Source organism: Homo sapiens, chromosome 3, assembly GCF_000001405.40.
Source record: "Homo sapiens chromosome 3, GRCh38.p14 Primary Assembly".
In the NCBI taxonomy this organism is placed as follows: domain Eukaryota; kingdom Metazoa; phylum Chordata; class Mammalia; order Primates; family Hominidae; genus Homo; species Homo sapiens.
The window spans coordinates 51,637,528-51,659,352 of record NC_000003.12 but is presented as its reverse complement, the minus strand read 5'-3'; the positions used below and the strand labels follow the sequence as shown (position 1 = coordinate 51,659,352).

Below are 21,825 nucleotides of genomic sequence, written 5' to 3'. Positions count from 1 at the left end.
CGGGTGGATCACAAGGTCAGGAGATTGAGACCATCCTGGCTAACACGGTGAAACCCCATCTCTACTAAAAATACAAAAAATTAGCCGGGCGTGGTGGTGGGCGCCTGTAGTCCCAGCTACTCGGGAGGCTGAGGCAGGAGAATGGCATGAACCCGGGAGGTGGAGCTCACAGTGAGCCGAGATCACACCACTGCACTCCAGCCTGGGCAACAGAGCGAGACTCTGCCTCAAAAAAAAAAAAAAAAAAAAAAAAACAAGAGCCGGATGGTTTTTGTAAGAGCTTTATAAGCCATAAGGTCTCTATTGTAACTCCTCAATTCTGCTGCTGTAACACAAAAATAGCGTGGCATGACTGTACTCCAAAAAATCTTTATGGACACTGAAATGTGAAATTCATATAATTTCACGTCACAAAATATTACTCTTTTGATTTTTTTTTCCAACCAATTGAAAATGTTAAACCCATTCTTATCTCGCAGATATTATAACAGGTAGCAGGCTAGATTTGACCCATGGGGCATAGAGTTTGGTGACCCCAGCTATAAACTAGGAAGACAGCAGTAAAGGGGGCTGGGTTCTAGACTAGGAAGAATCCAGTAAGGAGGCTGGGAATGGTGTTTTCTATGAGTCTGGGTATTTCATGGCACTTTTTCCCTAACCTCAAAGGTACTCTAACCCAATAGAAGCTAGGGCAAAATCTCCTTACTGAACAAAAAGTCTCAAAGAGCCTCACACAATCATGGGGCTTATTTAAAGGCTAATATGTAAAACAGGCTTGGATAGAAGACGTGGGTGCAGAAAAGAGGGGAAAAAAACAGGCTTAGATTGTGTCTCAATACTGTTTAGCCCAGCTTTTTTATTCCACCAATCTCATATCCCTCTGAAAGGAGGACAGAGGCAGATGTGGACTTTTTAAATTACCATATGCAAAAATTCTATCATGCAACCCATGTGTAATTCATCCACATAATACATATCCTATCAGGGGACCCCCACCCTGCTCCAAGCAAGTGGGTAAATGTATGTAGGCTTATAACCCATTCCACCGCTCTTTCCCTCCAATTTTGGTCTCCTTGTGTCTACTTGTCCCATCCCAAGATTCTCATAAAAATGACAGTAAGGGCCGGGTACGGTGGCTCACGCCTGTAATCCCGGCACGTTGGGAGGCCCAGGTGGGCGGATCATGAGGTCAAGAAATCGAGACCATCCTGGCCAACATAATGAAACCCCATCTCTACTAAAAAAAAAAAAAGTACAAAAATCAGCTGTGCGTGGTGGCGCATGCCTGTAGTCCCAGCTACTTGGGAGGCTGAGGCTGAAGAATTGCTTGAACCTGGGAGGTGGAGGTTGCAGTGAGCCGAGATCACGCAACTGCACTCCAGCCTGGCGACAGAGCAAGACTCCATCTCAAAAAAAAAAAAAAAAAAAAAAAAAAAGACAGCAAGATAGAGAAATGTAGGGACCCTAATTTCCTTCTTTTAAACCACTGACTAATACCCTATGGGCTCAACCCAACTCCCCTAAGCTCCTACAAATGCTATTTTCTCATTCAGTTCCGGAATGTGACATCCTAATGGGATGATTCCTATGACCCGTCTAGCTCAAGTCATATGTATTTATTCTTCTTCCCAGCCCAGCACTCTCAACCAAAGGCAGGGAACAGGTCCTTGGTCAGGCTCTTACCTTTTGTCCCACGGATGATGTGGATGCTCTCACCAGCATTAATTCTTGCCTGTACATCTGTGGAGCTGTTGAGTCCAGGAATAACAATATCTAGGAAAAACACAGATCTTAAATTTAGATTGCACGGGGCCTGACTGAAGGAGGGGGGAAAATTGCAAAGTCCCACATCTACCCCAGTTCTTCATTGGTTTCCCTACAGCCTCTCAGTGGGGCAGAGGTCCAGAACCAAGGAAGGTGAAGCAAGCAGGATCTTTCACAATTATCTAAACAAAGAATACTATGAAAACAGGAACTTTGTCAGAAATCTGAGCTGGTCATCGTTGCAATCAATTTCCCTTTATTTAATTAGAAATTCATAGTTTTTGGTGTGAAAAATGTTTTAGTTTAGATGGTTGTTTCTATGCATTTTTTTCCTCTTCCCCAAACTGTTTGCACGCATCTGCGCCACATCACTTTAGGCTCCAAAAATGGCCTAATCTTCTTCCTTGCTGGCATTACCCCACACCTGGGAAACAGTATTTTCAAGAATTAGTAGATAATAGAATTATATGGCGCTCTCTTTTTCTTTTCATGTGTTTCAAATTTTTTACTTAGAAAAATCAATTAAGATATTTTCATTAAAATTTATATATTGGCCGGGTGCAATGGCTCACACCTGTAATCCCAGCACTGTGGGAGGCCAAGGCGGGTGGATTGCCTGAGCTCAGGAGTTCGAAACCAGCCTGGGCAACATGGTGAAACCCCATCTCTATTAAAATACAAAAAAGTTCACCGGGCATAGTGGCACACGCCTGTAATTCCAGCAACTCGGGAGGCTGAGGCGGGAGAATCGCTTGAGCCCAGGAGTGCAGCGAGCCAAGATCATGCACTCCAGCCTGAGTGACAAAGCAAGACTCTGTCTCCAAAAAAAAAAATAATAATCAATTTATATATTATAAATATTGCTAAATAACAAGATAAAAAACAGGATCACAAAATGTTTTCCTTCCTAATCACACTGAATCACAGAACCAGCTCCTGGAGTGGATGGGTTGGCTACCTGCCACCACTGCTGACTGGCCCACCATGCTCAATTTATATCAAACTCGCAAAGGTAGACGCAAGTGACAATTCAGGTCTTCTCATTATGTACAAAGGTTGACAGCTGTCTTTTATACCCAGATGGGTCTACAATCAGGCAGGGCTCAGCATATTCACACCTCTATAAGAACCTGAGACCAACCCTGTATTCCAGTGACATTTCCACAATTCCTGCAGTGCTCAGAGTCTATCTCACCCACCAAACCCAAGAAAACCCAGTTATGTGTTGTTATTCTTAAGATATTTCACTAGAATCCAAATTCCTCAAGACCAGGGACTGTTGTCTTCCCTATTTTTTACCAAGAGTGCCAAATGTAGTAAGGCCAGAAATACAAAAGGTGTTTAATAGATACTTCCTAAATGAACAAAGTAATTTTAAAAGGGACAGCAGCTCTGCCACAGAGCCCAGGAGTTCCCACCTGTCGTGGTGACCACCTTCTGCACAAGGACTCCTGCACGCTGCAAGTAGTTGATGGGAAAGTTCATGGATGGATTTGTGCTGGAGGCAGAGCTTACACTTCCTCCCAATGGGACATGCCGGGGCATCATGGGGATGGGGGTGGACTGCACAGGACGAACACTGGCCACAGGCTTTTCATCACCCTTCAAAGTTGGCTGCCTGTAAGAGAAAGACAAGGACACTAAAAGAGTTTGGCAGAACAACTGTTACCTTTTCCAAAGGCTACAGAGCCTTTCTAGGCTGCCCCATTCTACACCATCAGTTGATGCTCAGAGAAGGATCAGAAGAATCTGCAGGGTCTGGTCAATTCAAAAGGAGACTAGAAGGCAGGACTCAGTTGCAGCAAAAGAGGCAGAGGGATAAAGTCTGTCAAAGTCTAAGGAGAATCAGATGTTGGTGGAATAATACTTTCTGGAGATGGGAGACAATATTTGCTCCTCTAGAACCTGGACTATCTACATTAGGAGTTAGTCCCTAAAGGGAAGTCAGGAAGCTGTCAAGATGCAATAAGGCAGGAAAAGTTCACCAGACCACAGCGTATGTTAAGTTGAGATGGGCAGAATTTTCCCCACTCACCCACGGAAAAAGGGCCATGTAACGACACGTTTAGGTGATCCTAAAAAATAGTCTGTTCCAACTTTAAACATCTTTACTTTCTCTCTGAAACCTTGAGTCTCAATAAGTAATACAGACACCTCTCTCTCTCTTCTGTATTACTTTTCATTGAGTTCTTCCTAGCTCCAGCCTGGAACAACCCTCAAAGTGCCCCTCCAGTCATGACAACAACAAAAGCAGCAGCCACCAAAGCAGTGTGTACAAAAGCCAGGCTTCTACTGATTTAAGATTTTTGAAAAGTCCCTGTCTACAAGCTTTCTGAAGTCTGCATCTTTCGTCTTTGGGCCTGGAGGGGGAAAAAAAAAAACCCTTAAGACTGTTATGTTCTTCCTCATCTGACTGAAGATTGGCACATAAAATAACACTTTTATACCACTCTGCTGTTGGAGCTGGTCTGCATGATGCCTCAATCACATTGCTCTTAGGTTTTTAAAGGCCCCTTTGGTCAGCCCCTTGGTCCCTGTGGACCTCCAAGTTCCCAGATGGGCCCCAGACCTGTGCTATCTGGCCTGTTTCCCCAGTGTCTTCCTAGGATGGTTTGGCAGGAGTTAGAGGCCCTGGTCAGGTATCAATGTAACAGAAACCCAGCCCAAGCCGCATACCCTGCAGGGGCTAAGACTAAGAATTTGGGTAAGAAGTATTCCTCACATGTACCCATGTGGATTAAAAAAACTCAGCAGGATCATGAACTCATCAAATGCTGTGAGAAGTTGGTGCCCCCACAGGGCCAGAGCTAAGCCAGAAACAAAGCTGACATCTCCTTATAGCTAGTCTGGACCATTTGTCACATCTTCTCTCCATGTGGCTTTTCTCTCACTGGGCTCAGGTTTAGTCCACTCCTGAGGTTACACAGAAAAGCCCAAAAAAGAGGGGGAAAAAAAAGAGGGAGGAATGGGTGGAGGAAAAGAGAAGAGACCATTCCTGAGCAATACTATCTTGGGAAATGACAGAAATAAAGCCTGAAAGTTTTGAAAGAGAGTGACTTTCTCTTTTGAGATTGAGTCCCACTATGTTGCCAAGGCTGGTCTCCAATTCCTGGACTCAAGCGATTCTCCCACCTCAGCCTCCCAAGAGGCTGGGACTACAGGTATGTGCCACCATGTCTAGTAAGAAAGTGACTTTCTACTTAAAAGTATCTTCAATTTGCTATACAAACAGCAACAAATGGCCGGGCATGATGGCTTATGTCTGTAATCTCAGCACCTTGGGAGGCCGAGGCAGGTGGATCACCTGTGGTCAGGAATTCAAGACCAGCCTGGCCAACATGGTGAAACACAGTCTCTACTAAAAATACAAAAAATTAGCCACGCGTGGTGGTGTGCACCTATAATCCCAGCTACTTGGGTAGCTAGGGGAGGAGAACTGCTTGAACCCAGGAAGCGAAGGTTGCAGTGAGCCGAGATCACACCATTACACTCCAGCCTGGGCAACAGAGACTCTGTACCCCACCCCCAAAAAAGACAACAAATCCACTCATAAAAGTCAATGTCTTACCTAAAACCTTACATGAGACTTATTTGGCAAGTTTTCCAAAATTTCCTTTGGAACCTCATTTGTCAAGTTTTTTTGTTTGTTTGAATTTTATTATACTTTAAGTTCCAGGGTACACATGCACAACGTGTAGGGTTGTTACGTATGTATACATGTGCCATGTTGGTATGCTGCACCCATTAACTCGTCATTTAACATTAGGTATTTCTCCTAATGCTATCCCTCCCCCATCCCCCCACACCATGCCAGGCCCCAGTGTGTGATGTTCCCCTTCCTGTGTCCACGTGTTCTCATTGTTCAATTCCCACCTATGAGTGAGAACATGCAGTGTTTGGTTTTCTGTCCTTGTGATAGTTTGCTGAGAATGGTGGTTTCCAGCTTCATCCATGTCCCTACAAAGGACATGAACTCATCCTTTTTTATGGCTGCATAGTATTCCATGGTGTGTATGTGCCACATTTTCTTAATTCAGTCTATCATTGATGGACATCTGGGTTGGTTCCAAGTCTTTGCTATTGTGAATAGTGCCGCAATAAACATACATGTGCATGTGTCTTTATAGTAGCATGATTTATAATCCTTTGGGTATATACCCAGTAATGGGATGGCTGGGTCAAATGGTATTTCTAGTTCTAGATCCTTGAGGAATCACCACACTGTCTTCCACAATGGTTGAACTAGTTTACAGTCCCACCAACAGTGTAAAAGTGTTCCTATTTCTCCACATTCTCTCCAGCACCTGTTGTTTCCTGACTTTTTAATGATCACCATTCTAACTGGTGTGAGATGGTATCTCATTGCGGTTTTGATTTGCATTTCTCTGATGGCCAGTGATGATGAACATTTTTTTCATGTGTCTGTTGGCTGCCTAAATGTCTTCTTTTGAAAAGTGTTTGTTCATATCCTTTAACCACTTTTTGATGGGGTTGTTTGATTTTTTCTTGTAAATTTGTTTAAGTTCTTTGTGGATTCTGGATATTAGCCCTTTGTCAGATGGGTAGTTTGCAAAAATTTTCTCCCACTCTGTAGGTTGCCTGTTCACTCTGATGGTAGTTTCTTTTGCTGTGCAGAATCTCTTTAGTTTAATTAGATCCCATTTGTCTATTTTGGCTTTTATTGCCATTACTTTTGGTGTTTTAGTCATGAAGTCCTTGCCCATGCCTATGTCCTGAATGGTATTGCCTAGGTTTTCATCTAGGGTTTTTATGATTTTAGGTCTAACATTTAAGTCTTTAATCCATCTTGAATTGATTTTTGTATAAGGTGTAAGGAAGGGATCCAGTTTCAGCTTTCTACATATGGCTAGCCAGTTTTTCCAGCACCATTTATTAAATAGGGAATCCTTTCCCCATTTCTTGTTTCTGTTCAGGTTTGTCAAAGATCAGATGGTTGTAGACGTGTGGTGTTATTTCTGAGGGCTCTATTCTGTTCCATTGGTCTATATTTTGGTTTTGGTACCAGTACCATGCTGTTTTGGTTACCGTAGCCTTGTAGTATAGTTTGAAGTCAGGTAGCATGATGCCTCCAGCTTTGTTCTTTTGGCTTAGGATTGTCTTGGCAATGCAGGCTCTTTTTTGGTTCCATATGAACTTTAGTTTTTTCCAGTTCTGTGAAGAAAGTCGTTGGTAGCTTGATGGGGATGGCATTGAATCTATAAATTACCTTGGGCAGTATGGCCATTTTCACGATGTTGATTCTTCCTATCTCTGAGCATGGAATGTTCTTCTATTTGTTTGTGTCCTCTTTTATTTGTTGAGCAGTGGTTTATAGTTCTCCTTGAAGAGGTCCTTCACATCCCTTGTAAGTTGGATTCCTAGGTATTTTATTCTCTTTGAAGCAATTGTGAATGGGAGTTCACTCATGATTTGGCTCTCTGTCTGTTATTGGTGTATAGGAATGCTTGTGATTTTTGCACACTGATATTGTACCCTGAGACTTTGCTGAAGTTGCTTATCAGCTTAAGGAGATTTTGGGCTGAGACAATGGGGTTTTCTAAATATACAATCATGTCATCTGCAAATAGGGACAATTTGACTTCCTCTTTTCCTAATTGAATACCCTTTATTTCTTTCTCTGGCCTGATTGCCCTGGCCAGAACTTCCAACACTATGTTGAATAGGAGTGGTGAGAGAGAGCATCCCAGTCTTGTGCCAGTTTTCAAAGGGAAGGCTTCCAGTGTTTGCCCATTCAGTATGATATTGGCTGTGGGTTTGTCACAAATAGCTCTTATTATTTTGAGATACGTTCCATCAATACCTAGTTTACTGAGAGCTTTTAGCATGAGGGGCTGTTGAATTTTGTCGAATGCCTTTTCTGCATCTATTGAGATAATCATGTGGTTTTTGTCTTTGGTTCTGTTTATGTGATGGATTACATTTATTGATCTGCATATGTTGAACCAGCCTTGCATCACAGGGATGAAGCCAACTTGATCTTGGTGGATAAGCTTTTTGATATGCTGTTAGATTCTGTTTGCCAGTATATTATTGAGGATTTTCACATCGATGTTCATCAGGGATATTGGTCTAAAATTCTCTTTTTTTGTTGTGTCTCTGCCAGGCTTTGGTATCAGGATGATGCTGGCCTCATAAAATGAGTGAGGGAGAATTTCCTCTTTTTCTATTGATTGGCATAGTTTCAGAAGGAATGGTACCAGCTCCTCTTTGTACCTCTGGTAGAATTCAGCTCTGAATCCATCTGGTCCTGGACTTTTTTTGGTTGGCAGGCTATTAATTATTGCCTCAATTTCAGAGCCTGTTGTTGGTCTATTCAGGGATTCAACTTCTTTCTGGTTTAGTCTTGGGAGGGTATATGGGTGCAGGAATTTATCCATTTCCTCTAGATTTTCTAGTTTATTTGCATAGAGGTGTTTAGAGTATTCTCTGATGCTAGTTTGTATTTCCGTAGGATCAGTGGTGATATCCCCTTTATCATTTTTTATTGCATCTATTTGATTCTTCTCTCTTTTCTTCTTTCTTAGTCTTGCTAGTGTTCTATCTATTTTGTTGCTCTTTTCAAAAAACCAGCTCCTGAATTCATTGACTTTTTGAAGGGTTTTTTGTGTCTCTATCTCCTTTAGTTCTGCTCTGATCTCAGTTATTCTTGCCTTCTGCTAGCTTTTGAATTTGTTTGCTCTTGCTTCTCTATTTCTTTTAATTGGGATGTTAGGGTGTTGATTTTAGATATTTCCTGCTTTCTCTTGTGGGCATTTAGTGCTATAAATATCCCTCTACACATTACTTTAAATGTGTCCCAGATATTCTGGTACGTTGTGTCTTTGTTCTCTTTGGTTTCAAAGAACATCTTTATTTCTGCCTTCATTTCATTACTTACCCAGTAGTCATTCAGGAGCAGGTTGTTCAGTTTTCATGTAGTTGTGTGGTTTTGAGTGAGTTTTTTAATCCTGAGTTCTAATTTGATTGCACTGTGGTCTGAGAGACAGTTTGTTTTGATTTCTGTTCTTTTACATTTGCTGAGGAGTGCTTTACTTCCAACTACGTGGTCAATTTTGGAATAAGTGCAATGTGGTGCTGAGAAGAATGTGTATTCTATTGATTTGGGGTGGAGAATTCTGTAGATGTCTATTAGGTCTGCTTGGTCCAGAGCTGAGTTCAAGTCCTGGATATCCTTGCTAACCTTCTGTCTCGTTGATCTGTCTAATCTTGACAGTGGGGTGTTAAAGTCTCCCATTATTATTGTGTGGGAGTCTAAGTCTCTTTGTAGGTCTCTAAGGACTTGCTTTATGAATCTGGGTGCTCCTGTATTGGGTGCATATATATTTAGCATAGTTAGCTCTTCTTGTTGCATTGATTCCTTTACCATTGTCTAATGGCCTTCTTTGTCTCCTTTGATCTTTGATGGTTTGAAGTCTATTTTAATAGCGACTAGGATTGCAACCTCTGCTTTTTTTTACTTTCCATTTGCTTGGCAGGTCTTCCTCCATCCCTTTATTTTGAGCTTCTGTGTGTCTCTGCACGTGAGATGGGTCTCCTGAATACAGCACACTGATGGGTGTTGACTCTTTATCCAATTTGCCAGTCTGTGTCTTTTAACTGGGGCATTTAGCCCATTTACATTTAAAGTTAATATTGTTATGTGTGAATTTGATCCTATCATTATGATGTTTGCTGGTTATTTTGCTCGTTAGTTGATGCAGTTTCTTCCTAGCATCAATGGTCTTTACAATTTGGCATGTCTTTGCAGTGGCTGGTACCGGTTGTTCCTTTCCATGTTTAGTGCTTCCTTCAGGAGGTCTCTTAAGGTAGGCCTGGTGGTGACAAATCTCTCAGCATTTGAGGATTTTATTTCTCCTTCACTTATGAAGCTTAGTTTGGCTGGATATGAAATTCTGGGTTGAAAATTCTTTTCATTAAGAATGTTGAATATTGGCCCCCACTCTCTTCTGGCTTGTAGAGTTTCTGCCAAGAGATCCACTGTTAGTCTGATGGGCTTCCCTTTGTGGGTAACCCGACCTTTCTCTCTGGCTGCCCTTAACATTTTTTCCTTCCTTTCAACCTTGGTGAATCTGACAATTATGTGTCTTGGGGTTGCTCTTCTCGAAGAGTATCTTTGTGGTGTTCTCTGTATTTCCTGAATTTGAATGTTGGCCTGCCTTGCTAGGTTGGGGAAGTTCTCCTGGATAATATCCTGAAGAGTGTTTTCCAGCTTGGTTCCATTCTGTCACTTTCAGGTACACCAATCAAACGTAGATTTGGTCTTTTCACATAGTCCCATATTTCTTGGAGCCTTTGTTCGTTTCTTTTTACTCTTTTTTCTCTAAACTTTTCTCACCGCATTTCATTCATTTGATCTTCAATCACTGATACACTTTCTTCTGCTTGATTGAATTGGCTACTGAAGCTTATGCATGTGTCATGTAGTTCTCGTGCCATGGTTTTCAGCTCCATCAGGTCATTTAAGGTCTTCTCTACACTGTTTATTCTAGTTAGCCATTTGTCTAATCTTTTTTCAAGGTTTTTAGCTTCCTTGCAATGGGTTTGAACATCCTCTTTTAGCTTGGAGAAGTTTGTTACCACTGACCTTCAGAAGCCTGCTTCTGTCAACTCGTCAAAGTCATTCTCCGTCCAGCTTTGTTCTGTTGCTGGCAAGGAGCTGTGATCCTTTGGAGGAGAAGAGGTGCTCTGGTTTTTAGAATTTTCAGCTTTTCTGCTCTGGTTTCTCCCCATCTTTGTGGTTTTATCTACCTTTGGTCTTTGATGATGGTGACCTACAGATGGGGTTTTGGTGTTGATGTCCTTTCTGTTGATGTTGATGCTATTCCTTTCTGTAGTTTTCCTTCTAACAGTCAGGTCCCTCAGCTGCAGGTCTGTTGGAGTTTGCTGGAGGTCCACTCCAAACCCTGTTTGCCTGAGTATCACCAGCAGAGGCTGCAGAACAGCAAATATTGCTGCCTGATCCTTCCTCTGGAAGCTTCGTCTCAGAGGGGCACCCGGCTGTATGAGGTGTCAGTCGGCCCCTACTGGGAAGTGTCTCCCAGTTAGGCTACATGGGGGTCAGGGACCCACTTGAGGAGGCAGACTGTCCATTCTCAGAGCTCAAACTTCGTGCTGGGAGAACCACTGCTCTCTTCAGAGCTGTCAGACGGGGAACATTTAAGTCTGCAGAAGTTTCTGCTGCCTTTTGTTCAGCTATGCCCTGCCCCCAGAGGTGGAATCTACAGAGGCAGGCAGGCCTGGTTGAGCTACAGTGGGCTCCACCCAGTTGGAGCTTCTGGGCTGCTTTGTTTACCTACTCAAGCCTCAGCAATGGCAGACACCTCTCCCCCAGCCAGGCTGCTGCCTTGCAGTTTGATCTTGGACTGCTGCACTAGCAGTGAGCAAGGCTCCGTGGGTGTGGGACCCACTGAGACAGGTGCGGGATATAATCTCCTGGTGTGCCGTTTGCTAAGACCGTTGGAAAAGCGCAGTATTTGGGTGGCAGTGTCCCGATTTTCCAGGTACAGTCTGTCATGGCTTCCCTTGGCTAGGAAAGGAAAATCCCCAGACCCCTTGAGCTTCCCAGGTGACGTGATGCCCCACCCTGCTTCGGCTCGCCCTCTGTGGGCTGCACCCATTGTCTAACCAGTCCCAGTGAGATGAATCAGGTACCTCAGTTGGAAATGCAGAAATCACCTGTCTTCTGTGTCGATCACAGTGGGAGCTGCAGCTTGTTTGTTTTTAACATGAGAGTCTTAGTAAGGAAAAAAATTTTAGGCTGGGCATGGTGGCTCACACCTGTAATGACAACATTTTGGGAGGCTGATATGGAAGGATCACTTGAGCCCAGGAGTTCAAGACCAGTCTGAGCAACATAGTGAGACCTCATCTCGACTAAAAGAAAAAAAAATTTTTTTTTGAGACGGAGTTTTGCTCTTGTTGCCCAGGCTGAAGTGCAATGGCGCGATCTCGGCTCACCACAACCTCTGCCTCCCAGATTCAAGCAATTCTCCTGCCTCAGCCTCCCGAGTAGCTGGGATTACAGGCACACAGCACCACACCTGGCTAATTTTTGTATTTTTAGTAGAGATGGGGGTTTCTCCATGTTGGAAAAGCTGATTTTGAACTCCCGACCTCAGGTGATCTGCCCGCCTAGACCTCCCAAATTGCTGGGATTACAGGCGTGAGCCACTGTGCCCAGCCAAAAAAGTTTTTTTAATTAGCCAGGCATGGTGATGCACACCTGTAATCCCAGCTACTTGGGAGGCTGAGGTGTGAGGATCACCTGAGCCCAGCAGGTCGAGGCTGCAGGAAGCTGTGATCGCACCACTGCACTCCAGCCTAGGCAACAGAGTGACACCCTGTCACAAAAAAAGAAAGAGAAAATTTAAATCTGTTCCCATCAAATAAAATAATTATTTTTAATTCAAGATAATCAAATAATTAAAAATGCAAACTACTGAATCAGGTAGCAGATCTGATCAGTAAGTGGAGGGTGAGAGCTGTGAGGCACTGTCTTGAAATTAAAAAAAAAAAATTAAACCTAGATAACTGTTCTATAATATCTTACAAGGAGCCTCTCTCACTGCTTAGCACTTGGCTTCTATTCTGTTAATATTCTGAACAAGTCTAGATGTTATACTCAAAAAAGAGATTTTTTGGTTCCAGATCATGGCACAGACACAGAATGGAATCCCCTTAGGAGCAGCAGGATTCCCTGACTGTAATCCAAGGGAACAGAGCCTTCATCCTTGAACACCACTTCTAAGTGAGGCCTAGGACTAAGGTGCTAGGGGTCAGATGCACCTGTGTGGAATGGCTGGGCCTCTTTCTGGGAAGCTTTATCCCCGTCTCCTACCCAGGTGTCCAGAAAGACTCTCCTGGGTCACGGGCCAGCAGCTCACTTTTCCAGCTAGGGCAGTCAAAACCAGAACCATTTAAAACACCAGGGCTACTGAACTGCTTTCACACCTACCCTAGAGCAGAGCCTGTCAATTCACAGCAGTCAAGGAACAAGTTGTAGGCTCTGCCTTTATTTAAAATATGAACAAGTTGAAAGGTGTTTGTGCCTGGCCCAGCAGCAGACCCTCCCCTTTCAGCAACTCACCAGTTTCTCTGGCTGAAGGCGGGGATGCTGGTCAGGCTCTGATCGCTGGCAGGGTAATACTGCGCATACGATGGGCGGGTATAGGGGACTGATGTGCGTTTGTCTTCCTCATAGCTTTTCTTTGCTGCTTTTTTCTCAGCCTTGGTTAGCTTGTGATCCTTTCGGTTCAAGAGCAATGACTCATGCTCGAAAGGCTCCTGGGGACACAGGAGGATGTTGATTTAGTTACCAACATGGCTGATAGATAATGAGCCTTACTTTAGGACCAAGAAAAGAGCTGGCTGTCTCCAGCACTAGCGAAGAGACTGCTCAGAGATACACAGGCAGGTTTACTGTCTTTCTGTCAAGAGTACAATTTATAGCTCTAACCTAGTACCAGCTTTAGACATCTAAGTCTGCCTTCCCTATCAAAAGAATGGGGGAGTTCAGAGAATTAACAAACTACATTTTTAGAACTTTCCCCCTCTCTTTCTGCTAAGAAGACTCACTGGCCAAATTACTATACATGGCTAACCTTAGCACTCCCAGGACCAGATTAGAGGACGGGGTAAGTGGTTGTGGGAAGGGAGGGGGACTGAGTGGGGCAAGAAAAAGAAGTCCTTGAGTCCAAGTCACCTGCATGAAACATCACCTCAGATGAAGAAAAAAGCTTACAAGACAAGCCTCCTTTGACAGAGAGACTGCCACTCTGGGGATTGCATGCATACCAAGTTCTTACCTTGGTGATGAGGTGAGGGTACTTCAGACAGGCCAGTTGCAGGACTGACTCCTTGATCCCCTTTACGTTCAAGGAAACTTGGGGAGCTGGCTCCTTCTCAACAAAGTGCAGTAGGTTTTCCACCTCTTTCCGTGTGAAGTTCAGCATTGGATTTAGATCATCCACCACCCGATCTAGAAGGATAAAGACATGAAGAAAGTCAGCACATGGCATTAAAAACTGTAAAGGTCACTAATAATGAAAAGTCATCCCATATCTGAAAGTCAAAGACTAGGTCTGAGGTGCTGGTGACACTGGAAACATCATATAAGGGGAAAACTTGTATAACGAGCTTGGCTGTTATCATTAAACTCACCTTCAACAAGTTGAGGTCAATTACCTTTTAAGCAATTTGAATCAGAATGAGATAGGAGGAAATGCTGGCTTTCTCGAAGCCTGCCTGTGTTCCCATATCCTGCTCCTCTCCCACCCTTGATACTAAAAGGATGGTAGCCTGTATAGATGTGCCTCTCCGAAGTCTGGAAGATGGCCCACCTGACATGCCCTGCTTGGAAATCTGACGGTCATAGATCTTCTTTTCTAGAGTGTAATCAGCCACAAGGCGATAGATGTAACAGGGCTTTTTCTGGCCATAACGGTATACCCGACATACTGCCTGGGCATCATGGCAAGGGTTCCAGGAAGCATCAAACACCACCACTCGGTTGGCACCAATCAGATTCACACCCAAGCATCCGGCCCTTTAAAAGACAAGCCAACAATCACAGAGCCTTTAGTCTTAAAAAAGGTTTTCAAATCAGTTTTGCCCTCTGTGACTTCTACCCCAATATTACTCTGTCCTAAGCCCTAAGTACAACATACTCAAGGATTTTGCTGTCCTGCTGATAAACAGTACATTCCTCAAGCACTGAAAATTGTGCCCTGAAATCCAACATGAAAGTGTCTACCAGCTCAGAAACAAAACTCACTCTCCTCTGTAACAAGTAAGGCCCCCGCATCCTGGCCTTGGAGGGATGTTCCTTGGTGAGGGGAAACTTCTGCACACAGATGTTTCCACTATTTTTAGTCTAACAGCTTAGGGGAATGACTGGCTTACATCCTGCCAAGGGCATTACGATGGCAGAAGGCAGCACAGCCTTCAAGCTGCTTGGCATGAGACAATACCATCAGCCTTTTACAGTCACCTTGCACTTTCTACTTTTTAAAGCACTTTCATATTCATCACATCATCTAAGCCTCATAACACTCCTGAGAGAAAAGCTAATTAAAACTCTTGGGTATTTTGTTGTTGTTGTTCATTTGTTTGTTTGTTTTTAAATGAGACAGGGTCTCACTCTGTCGCTTAGGCTGGATTGCAGTGGCTCAATCACAGCTCACTGCAGCTTCGACCTCTCAGACTCAAGCCATCCTCCCGCCTCTGCCTCCCAAGTAGCTGGGACCACAGGTGCATGCCACCACACTCAGCTAATTGTTTGATTTTTTGTACAGACAAGGTCTCAGTATCTTGAACCCCTGGGTTCAAGCAATCCTCCCACCTTGGCCTCCCAAAGTGCTGGGGTTACAGGCATGAGCCACAACCATTGTTAATGAAGGTCTCAAAAAATTTTATGATACTATCATGACTGCCCTGCTAACCTAATTTCCTTTTGAAGTTCCCTCTCTGACCCCAGAAACAAGTTACAAACCTGAGCTGATCTCTTCTGAGGGAACTTGGAGTTTTGGGGTACCAGCCCAGGTGGCCAACTGCCTGAACAGATTCCTTTGACCTCCCCTCTTGGGATCCACTCACCTTGTAGAGAGAAGGAACAGCCAGGTGGTGAGGTTGCTGGGATCATTGAACTGATTAATAAGCCGCTCCCTCTCAAAGGCAGGGGTGCTACCATCTAGCCCTAGGAAGGAAGGAAAACCATAAGCAGTGGATATATTAGAGCAAGGATATACAGCAAAATCACTGGGCAAATATGTTTTAAAGAGCAAAACAAATAGAAATACAACAGTGCTCAGATCTCACCCCTTGGACGTATCATGGGTCTACAGTAAGTAAGGCCCAGGCATCTATAATTTGAAAATACCCCCAGGTGATTCTCACATGCACCATGGATTATAAACTACATTTCTCCCCTTTACTATCTTAGGTCAATTCTAAAGCCAAGAATCCTAGACTTCGGAATGTATAGTAATCACCTAGGGAATTTGGAAAATACTGGCTCAAGGTGACCTCTCTGCCTCAGCCTTGTGAGTCCTGGTGAGTGCAGGACTAAGGGTTTTGATATGGATGATGTTCCTCCACCAGGAATCTGCATTTTTAACCAGCTCCTGAAGCTAAGAACTTGCTGTAAAGAGACATAAAGGAAATACATCTGGAACAGTAGGATGGAACACATGAATGAAAGGAGGGAAGCTCCAAAGAGGGAGAAAAAATAGGCTTTAGGGCCGGGCACAGTGGCTCACGCCTGTAATCCCAACAGTTTGGGAGGCCAAGGCGTGCAGATCACGAGGTCAAGAGATCGAGACCATCCTGACCCACATGGTGAAACCCCGTCTCTACTAAAAATACAAAAATTAGCTGGGCATGGTGGCCTGTGCCTGTAGTCCCAGTACTTGGGAGGCTGAGGCAGGAGAATCACTTGAACCTGGGAGACGGAGGCTGCAGTTCAGCCAAGATCACGCCACTGCACTCCAGCCTGGCAAAAGAGTAAGACTTCGTCTCAAAAAAAAAAAAAAAAAAAAAAGACTTCAGTTAAGAAGCATAAATAGTAATGGCAACACTTGTCATCTTGAGTAAATGGTAAAGCTAAGGGCATGAAATACCACATGGAAAACTGAATTACTACTGTTGTAGGAAGCAACAGTTTAATTGCTTGGTACTGGGGTTCTATGTCAGGACCCCAACCTACTTTTCCAACCTGAGTTCAAACAGTTCCCAAACACAGCTCACCACTGATTCATAGGGCAAGCTCTGAGCCACACCTTGTGCTGGGGGTCTTCTTGCTACTCCCTGAACCTCCAGTTCTCTAAATCCTTCTATTAGGGCAGTGGTTCTCAATGAGGGCAATTTCTCCATACTCCCACTCCCCACGGGACATTTTGCAATGTCTGGAGATATTTTTGGTTGTCAAAACTGAGAGATACTACTGCCATCTAGTGAGTAGAAACCAAGCATGCTACTAAATGTCGTATAATATACAGGACAGCCCCTTATAACAAAGAATTATCTGGCCCAAATGTCAGCAGTGCTGAGGTCTGTATTTCTCAACTTTTTTTTCATTACCACCCCACTAAGGAATGACTTTTTTTTTCCCAATGACACTATGTCCTTCATGAAATTTAATACCACAGATAAACTGTATATCTGTTTACGTACTGTATGTACTTGACTTACACATTTTAAAAGTTAAGATTTCCACCCCCTGCTCAAAAAAAAAAAAAAAAAGTTCATCCCCTTAAAGTATTATCTCCCCAACAGAGAATGCATGATCTAGGCTTGTGTTCACTCTGATCTTTCAGCCTGGAATGATCCTCAGGCAACACTAGCCCTGTGTATTCAAATCCTCCCCATTTTTGAGACACCTTAGCTAATCATCCTCACCACAGTGATTCTATCCTCCTTAGAACCCCAGTTAGGGGCACTCAATTGTTCTTGAATTGTCACATCTCAGATGAAGAGAAGGACTATGGCTTCTATTTCTCTACACTCTCCCAACTCTCTCAATCCCCCAGCCCCTAGTACAGTACCTTGTAAACAACAGCTGGCTCTTAGTATCCCCCTGCTCCTTGACTAATCACAAATATTCCTATGCATTTGATGGAGTGGAGAAAGAGAAAGAGAGAGAAGGAAAGGAAACCCTTAAGCAGACCTTGCCAAGGCTTCAAGAACAACGCAACAATGAACTCACGGAAGTAGCTGATGTTTCGAACCCACTTCTGTGCTCCTTGCCCCTCGGTACCAGGTGGACAGGGTACTTCTCGTTTTCCAAGGAATTCCTCGATGAGAGCCAAGGTGGAAAGACTCTGGCTGAAACAGAAAACATTTCGTTCAGATGGCTCCCAGAATTGAGGGAACATTGTTCCCAATAGGTCCATACTCTTGTGCAACTTTCTGACAATGGGAGCTCCCACAACCTACCACTGAAAAGAGGTAACTCTAGGTTGGGCACGGTGGCTCAAGCCTATAATCCCAGCACTTTGGGAGGCCGAGGCGGGTGGATCACCTAAGGTCAGGAGTTCCAGACCAGCCTAGCCAACATGGCAAAACCCCGTCTGTACTAAAAATACAAAAATTAGCTGGGTGTGGTGGCACACGCCTGTAATCCCAGCTATTTGGGAGGCTAAGGCAGGAGAATCACTTGAACCCAGGAGGCGGAGGCTGTAGTGCAGGATCACGCCATTGCACTCCAGCCTGGGCAACAAGAGTGAAACTCTGTCTCAGGAGAAAAAAAAAAAAAAGGGGGTAACTCTAGGTCGGGAACAGTGGCTCACGCCTGTAATCCCAGCACTTGGGAGGCCGAGGCGGGCGGATCACCTGAGGTCAGGAGTTCGAGACCAATCTGGCCAACATGATGAAACCCCATCTCTACTAAAAATCCAAAAATAATTAGCCTGGCATGGTGGCACGTGCCTGTGGTCCCAGCTACTCAGGAGGCTGAAGCAGGAGAATCGTTTGAACCTGGGAAGTGGAAGATGCAGTGAGCCAAGATCACACCACTGCACTCCAGCCTGGGCAGGAAGAGTGAAACTCCATCTCAAAAAAAAAGAAAAAGAAAAAGAAACAGAAAGAGGTAACTATACCAAGAACAACCAAGGGTATCCTTCCTAGCGTATAATGGGAGCAGAGTCATCCACATACTTACGACTACCACCACACTGAAAAAATACTCTCTTCATTCTTCACTTCCACAGCTGAAAATTTCTGGGGTTTAGCTCAATGCAGAGTAACAAATAGCATTCAGCACTAAACACTACCACTGCATGAATATACATCAGATATGATTATGGGTTTTACTAGAGAGACAAAATCACTCGACTGCTTCCAAGATACCATGAGAGCCAGTGTCCTTAGAAGTGATCCATAAAATCAACACTAGGCTCTCCCCAAGCTAAAATCACTGCTGTCCTCTCAAAGTGTGTCACATGTGGAAGCCCTCACTCTGAGGCTCCTGAGCCAGGCTCCTGCCACTTGGCTCTTCTTGGAGCATAATCTGGTCAGATTATAAAGAAGGAGAAGCAATCAACTTTGTTTTCCTGGGGAGTCAAGCCTTAATGAGACTCAAAGCTCTAGCCAGACTGAGAATATAACTCCGGAGCAAACTACATCACTTATTTGGCTTTAAAGACAAAGCTTAAAACTAAAATAAAAGGTTGGGGCGGGATAGAAGATTAAACCAAGGGTCAGCAAACATTTTCTGTAAAAGGACAGATAGCAAATAGTTTAGGCTTTCTTGGCCACATAGAACCTCTGCTGCATATTCTTTGTATGTTTTTTATAACCTTTTAAAAATGTAAAAACTATCCTTAGCTCTCAAAGTAAACAAAAACAGGCCAGAATTTGAAAGATTAGACTCCAGTGCTAACCTAGGGTTCTAAATTGTTCTCTGTGGAGAAATCAAATTGGGCAATGAAAGAAACTCCAAGAGACAGACAACATGCAAGAAGGTCCTCACAATAGCACTTGGGGGAGGCGGGGGTGGTCTTGGTCTTGCTCTGTGGTGGTTTTGTCATTCTTTACCATAGACACACAGCCTCAAATGGAAGTTTCTCATCCTACCTAAACACAAGGATCTTGTCCCCAAGCTTCACACTTTCCTCAATCAGGTGGAAAAGCAGTACCATCTTGGGAGAGTTTTCTAGGACTCCAGTCTGGTAATTAGTCAGAAGGTCCTTGGCCTGCAAGAGAGAAACAAGGCAGCTTAGAGCAGGTCCAAGGCCAGATCACTAGAAATAAAATTATTTCCTTCCAAGGCAGCAGCTCACTGGCCACCTTTATAATTCCATACAGAGACCCTAGCCATGCATCCCTACCCCTTCCCCAGGCAGGGCTTGCACCATCCCTTCTCAGCAATAGTTTATGGTTCCTGAAGGATCTGCTTGACTCACCCATTCATATGTGACAATGTTGTTGCCTCGCTCCTGGAAAGGGTTGAAGCCAACGCCCTGTAGGAACTTGCTATTGGTTGCCTCTCCCATCGAGGAAGCCAAGGTGCTATCCTCTCCCTTGCCTTTTGTTCCCTGTGGTGGACAGCGGGCACTGGTCCCTGCAGAGCCAAGTTCTTCCACGTCTAGGTCCTGCTCATTGGCCAAGCTCTCCTTCTGAAGGGCTTCATACAGCACATCAGGGTGATTCCAGATCTGAGGTTCAAGGAAAGGGAGAGGAGACACAGGACAAAAAACATTCCAAGGGTGTCCCAGGGAGTCTGGAAACACATACTTGCTCAAACACACACGTCCCACAATAAACACTGTCACACCAAAAATTAAAGTCAGAGCCCTTCACAGCCAAAGGGCCTGCATATTTGTTTTGATTATCAGTTCTGGTCACCATGACACATGAATGGCAGCATGCATACCAGGAGCCATGCCAGTAAGTATGTTTGATACATAATCAAAAAAGCTGTCACAAGCCTTTTTGACATTCTTATTCAAATAAGAGTAAGAATGTTCCAGTTTCACAGTGTGGCTACAGTCTGCTACTGTATAAAACTATAGACAAAATGTATCTGACTTATAGTAGACCAATCACATATCATTTCACAGAGTATTCCTAGCAAGAGTTGAGAACTCCCAGGAGAAGAGAGGAAAGGAAGAAGGAAGGATGCAGTGATACCAAAGCATCATCACAGACCACGCTTGCCTTAGTTTCCTGGCCTTGACCCAGGACTGTGGCTATAAAAGAAATATTTGGAAACCCCTCTTGTCCCCAGACACATACCTTCTGCTGACTTATTAAAGCAGTGGTCAATTAAGAATAATACCTAACAGGTCTGCTGAAGAGTAGCCAGGGGTAGAGGTATGAAGTCAATGAAACAGGTCCCTCAAGAAAAGAATGAGAGAGGTCTCAATCTGATTAAGTATGGAATCCAATGGAAGGTACCCCTAATAACTTGTCTAAGCTATATATCTCTTGAATTCTGATTATGCTAGCAGTCAAAAACGCTGCCCCACAGTATTTTTCCATTAATCCCCTTGGAATAACAAGTTGTGCAGCTGAGTTGCACACTGCAGGGGGCATCAGTTATATTACACTGTGTGAATGGCACCCCCAGGAGTTATGTGGTACAAAACCATCACCTCTCTCCTTGGAGCCCCCAAACCTCCAGTGCAGTGAACTGAGGTGGCCCCCTCTCACTTTATTCTCCCTTTATTGAAGACTCTCAGTAGGAGTAACTCCCTTGGGACCATGTGTATCCTTAGTCCCCATCTCAATCTTCCCTGAGGCCCCAATGCACCTTGCAACACACACAGAATGCCTTAAGGGGGTTCAGCCCCAGCCAACCGCTGCTACCACAGTCCCGGAAGCGATCCATGAACTGTGTATACAAATCTCGCTGGATCTTGGAGAGCCGCACAAGGATCACATTTTCTTCCTTGGCAGGGAGATGAATCTTCAGCACAGTGTGGCCTCTCCTATGGAGGCAAACAGAACAGAAACGGCAAGGTAGTGTGGCCAGGAGGGGTCAGCACAAGATAAAAACAGAGCCTTTTGCACTCCTGCCACACCTCCCTCTTGAGGATCTCAACATGCACTGCAGCCTTGCAATAATGCAGAGTGGTTCAACAACCAAGAAGAAACTCACCTTAAGGATGAAAACTAACACTAAGAGGCAGAGTGACCTGTCCCAGGTCAAGTCTGACTGCATGACAGAGACAGGGGAACTTGAGGTTCTTACTTTAATTTGGGCTGCCTCTCTGAGCTTTCGCTCCATATGCCATCTCAACAAGGAAAAATGAGGGGTCTGCTTTAGACTAGCCTAAGGTAAGTCAGCAGAATGGTACCTTTTTCTTGCTTCTCTCAGCAAGTAAGACAGGTGTCTCCAGTACCTTTAAAGATAACTTTTGAGAGAAGCACTTCTAGGCCAAACTTTCAGAGAACTGAAACAGTGGATATCCACCATCTGCTAGCTTGTCACAGGAAGCAAAGTTTTACTACTGCCCCAGGGAAGGGGCCCTCCTACTCCAACACCCTATCCTGTATAACAGGTTTGGCATGCCCTTGGCAACAGGGCCCTCTGAAAATTCAGGA

General features: G+C 44.2%; 1 protein-coding gene across 6 annotated transcripts in view; it reads right to left on the bottom strand.

The window, feature by feature from the left end:
- RAD54L2 (RAD54 like 2) overlaps positions 1 to 21,825 on the bottom strand; it is a 129,942-nt gene that overhangs the window by 9,308 nt on the left and 98,809 nt on the right. For 5 of the 6 annotated variants that reach the window (NM_001322253.2, NM_015106.4, NM_001322256.2 and 2 more), the window contains 10 exons: positions 21,032 to 21,209; positions 19,683 to 19,934; positions 19,354 to 19,472; positions 17,486 to 17,604; positions 15,379 to 15,478; positions 14,124 to 14,329; positions 13,590 to 13,762; positions 12,872 to 13,068; positions 3,183 to 3,382; positions 1,684 to 1,773 (listed from right to left, as the gene is read on the bottom strand). In NM_001322253.2, coding sequence (NP_001309182.1) covers positions 1,684 to 1,773; positions 3,183 to 3,382; positions 12,872 to 13,068; positions 13,590 to 13,762; positions 14,124 to 14,329; positions 15,379 to 15,478; positions 17,486 to 17,604; positions 19,354 to 19,472; positions 19,683 to 19,934; positions 21,032 to 21,209 — 1,634 coding nt within the window. The remainder of the gene's footprint in view (positions 1 to 1,683; positions 1,774 to 3,182; positions 3,383 to 12,871; positions 13,069 to 13,589; positions 13,763 to 14,123; positions 14,330 to 15,378; positions 15,479 to 17,485; positions 17,605 to 19,353; positions 19,473 to 19,682; positions 19,935 to 21,031; positions 21,210 to 21,825) is intronic. The other variant, NM_001387866.1, reaches the window with a different exon arrangement.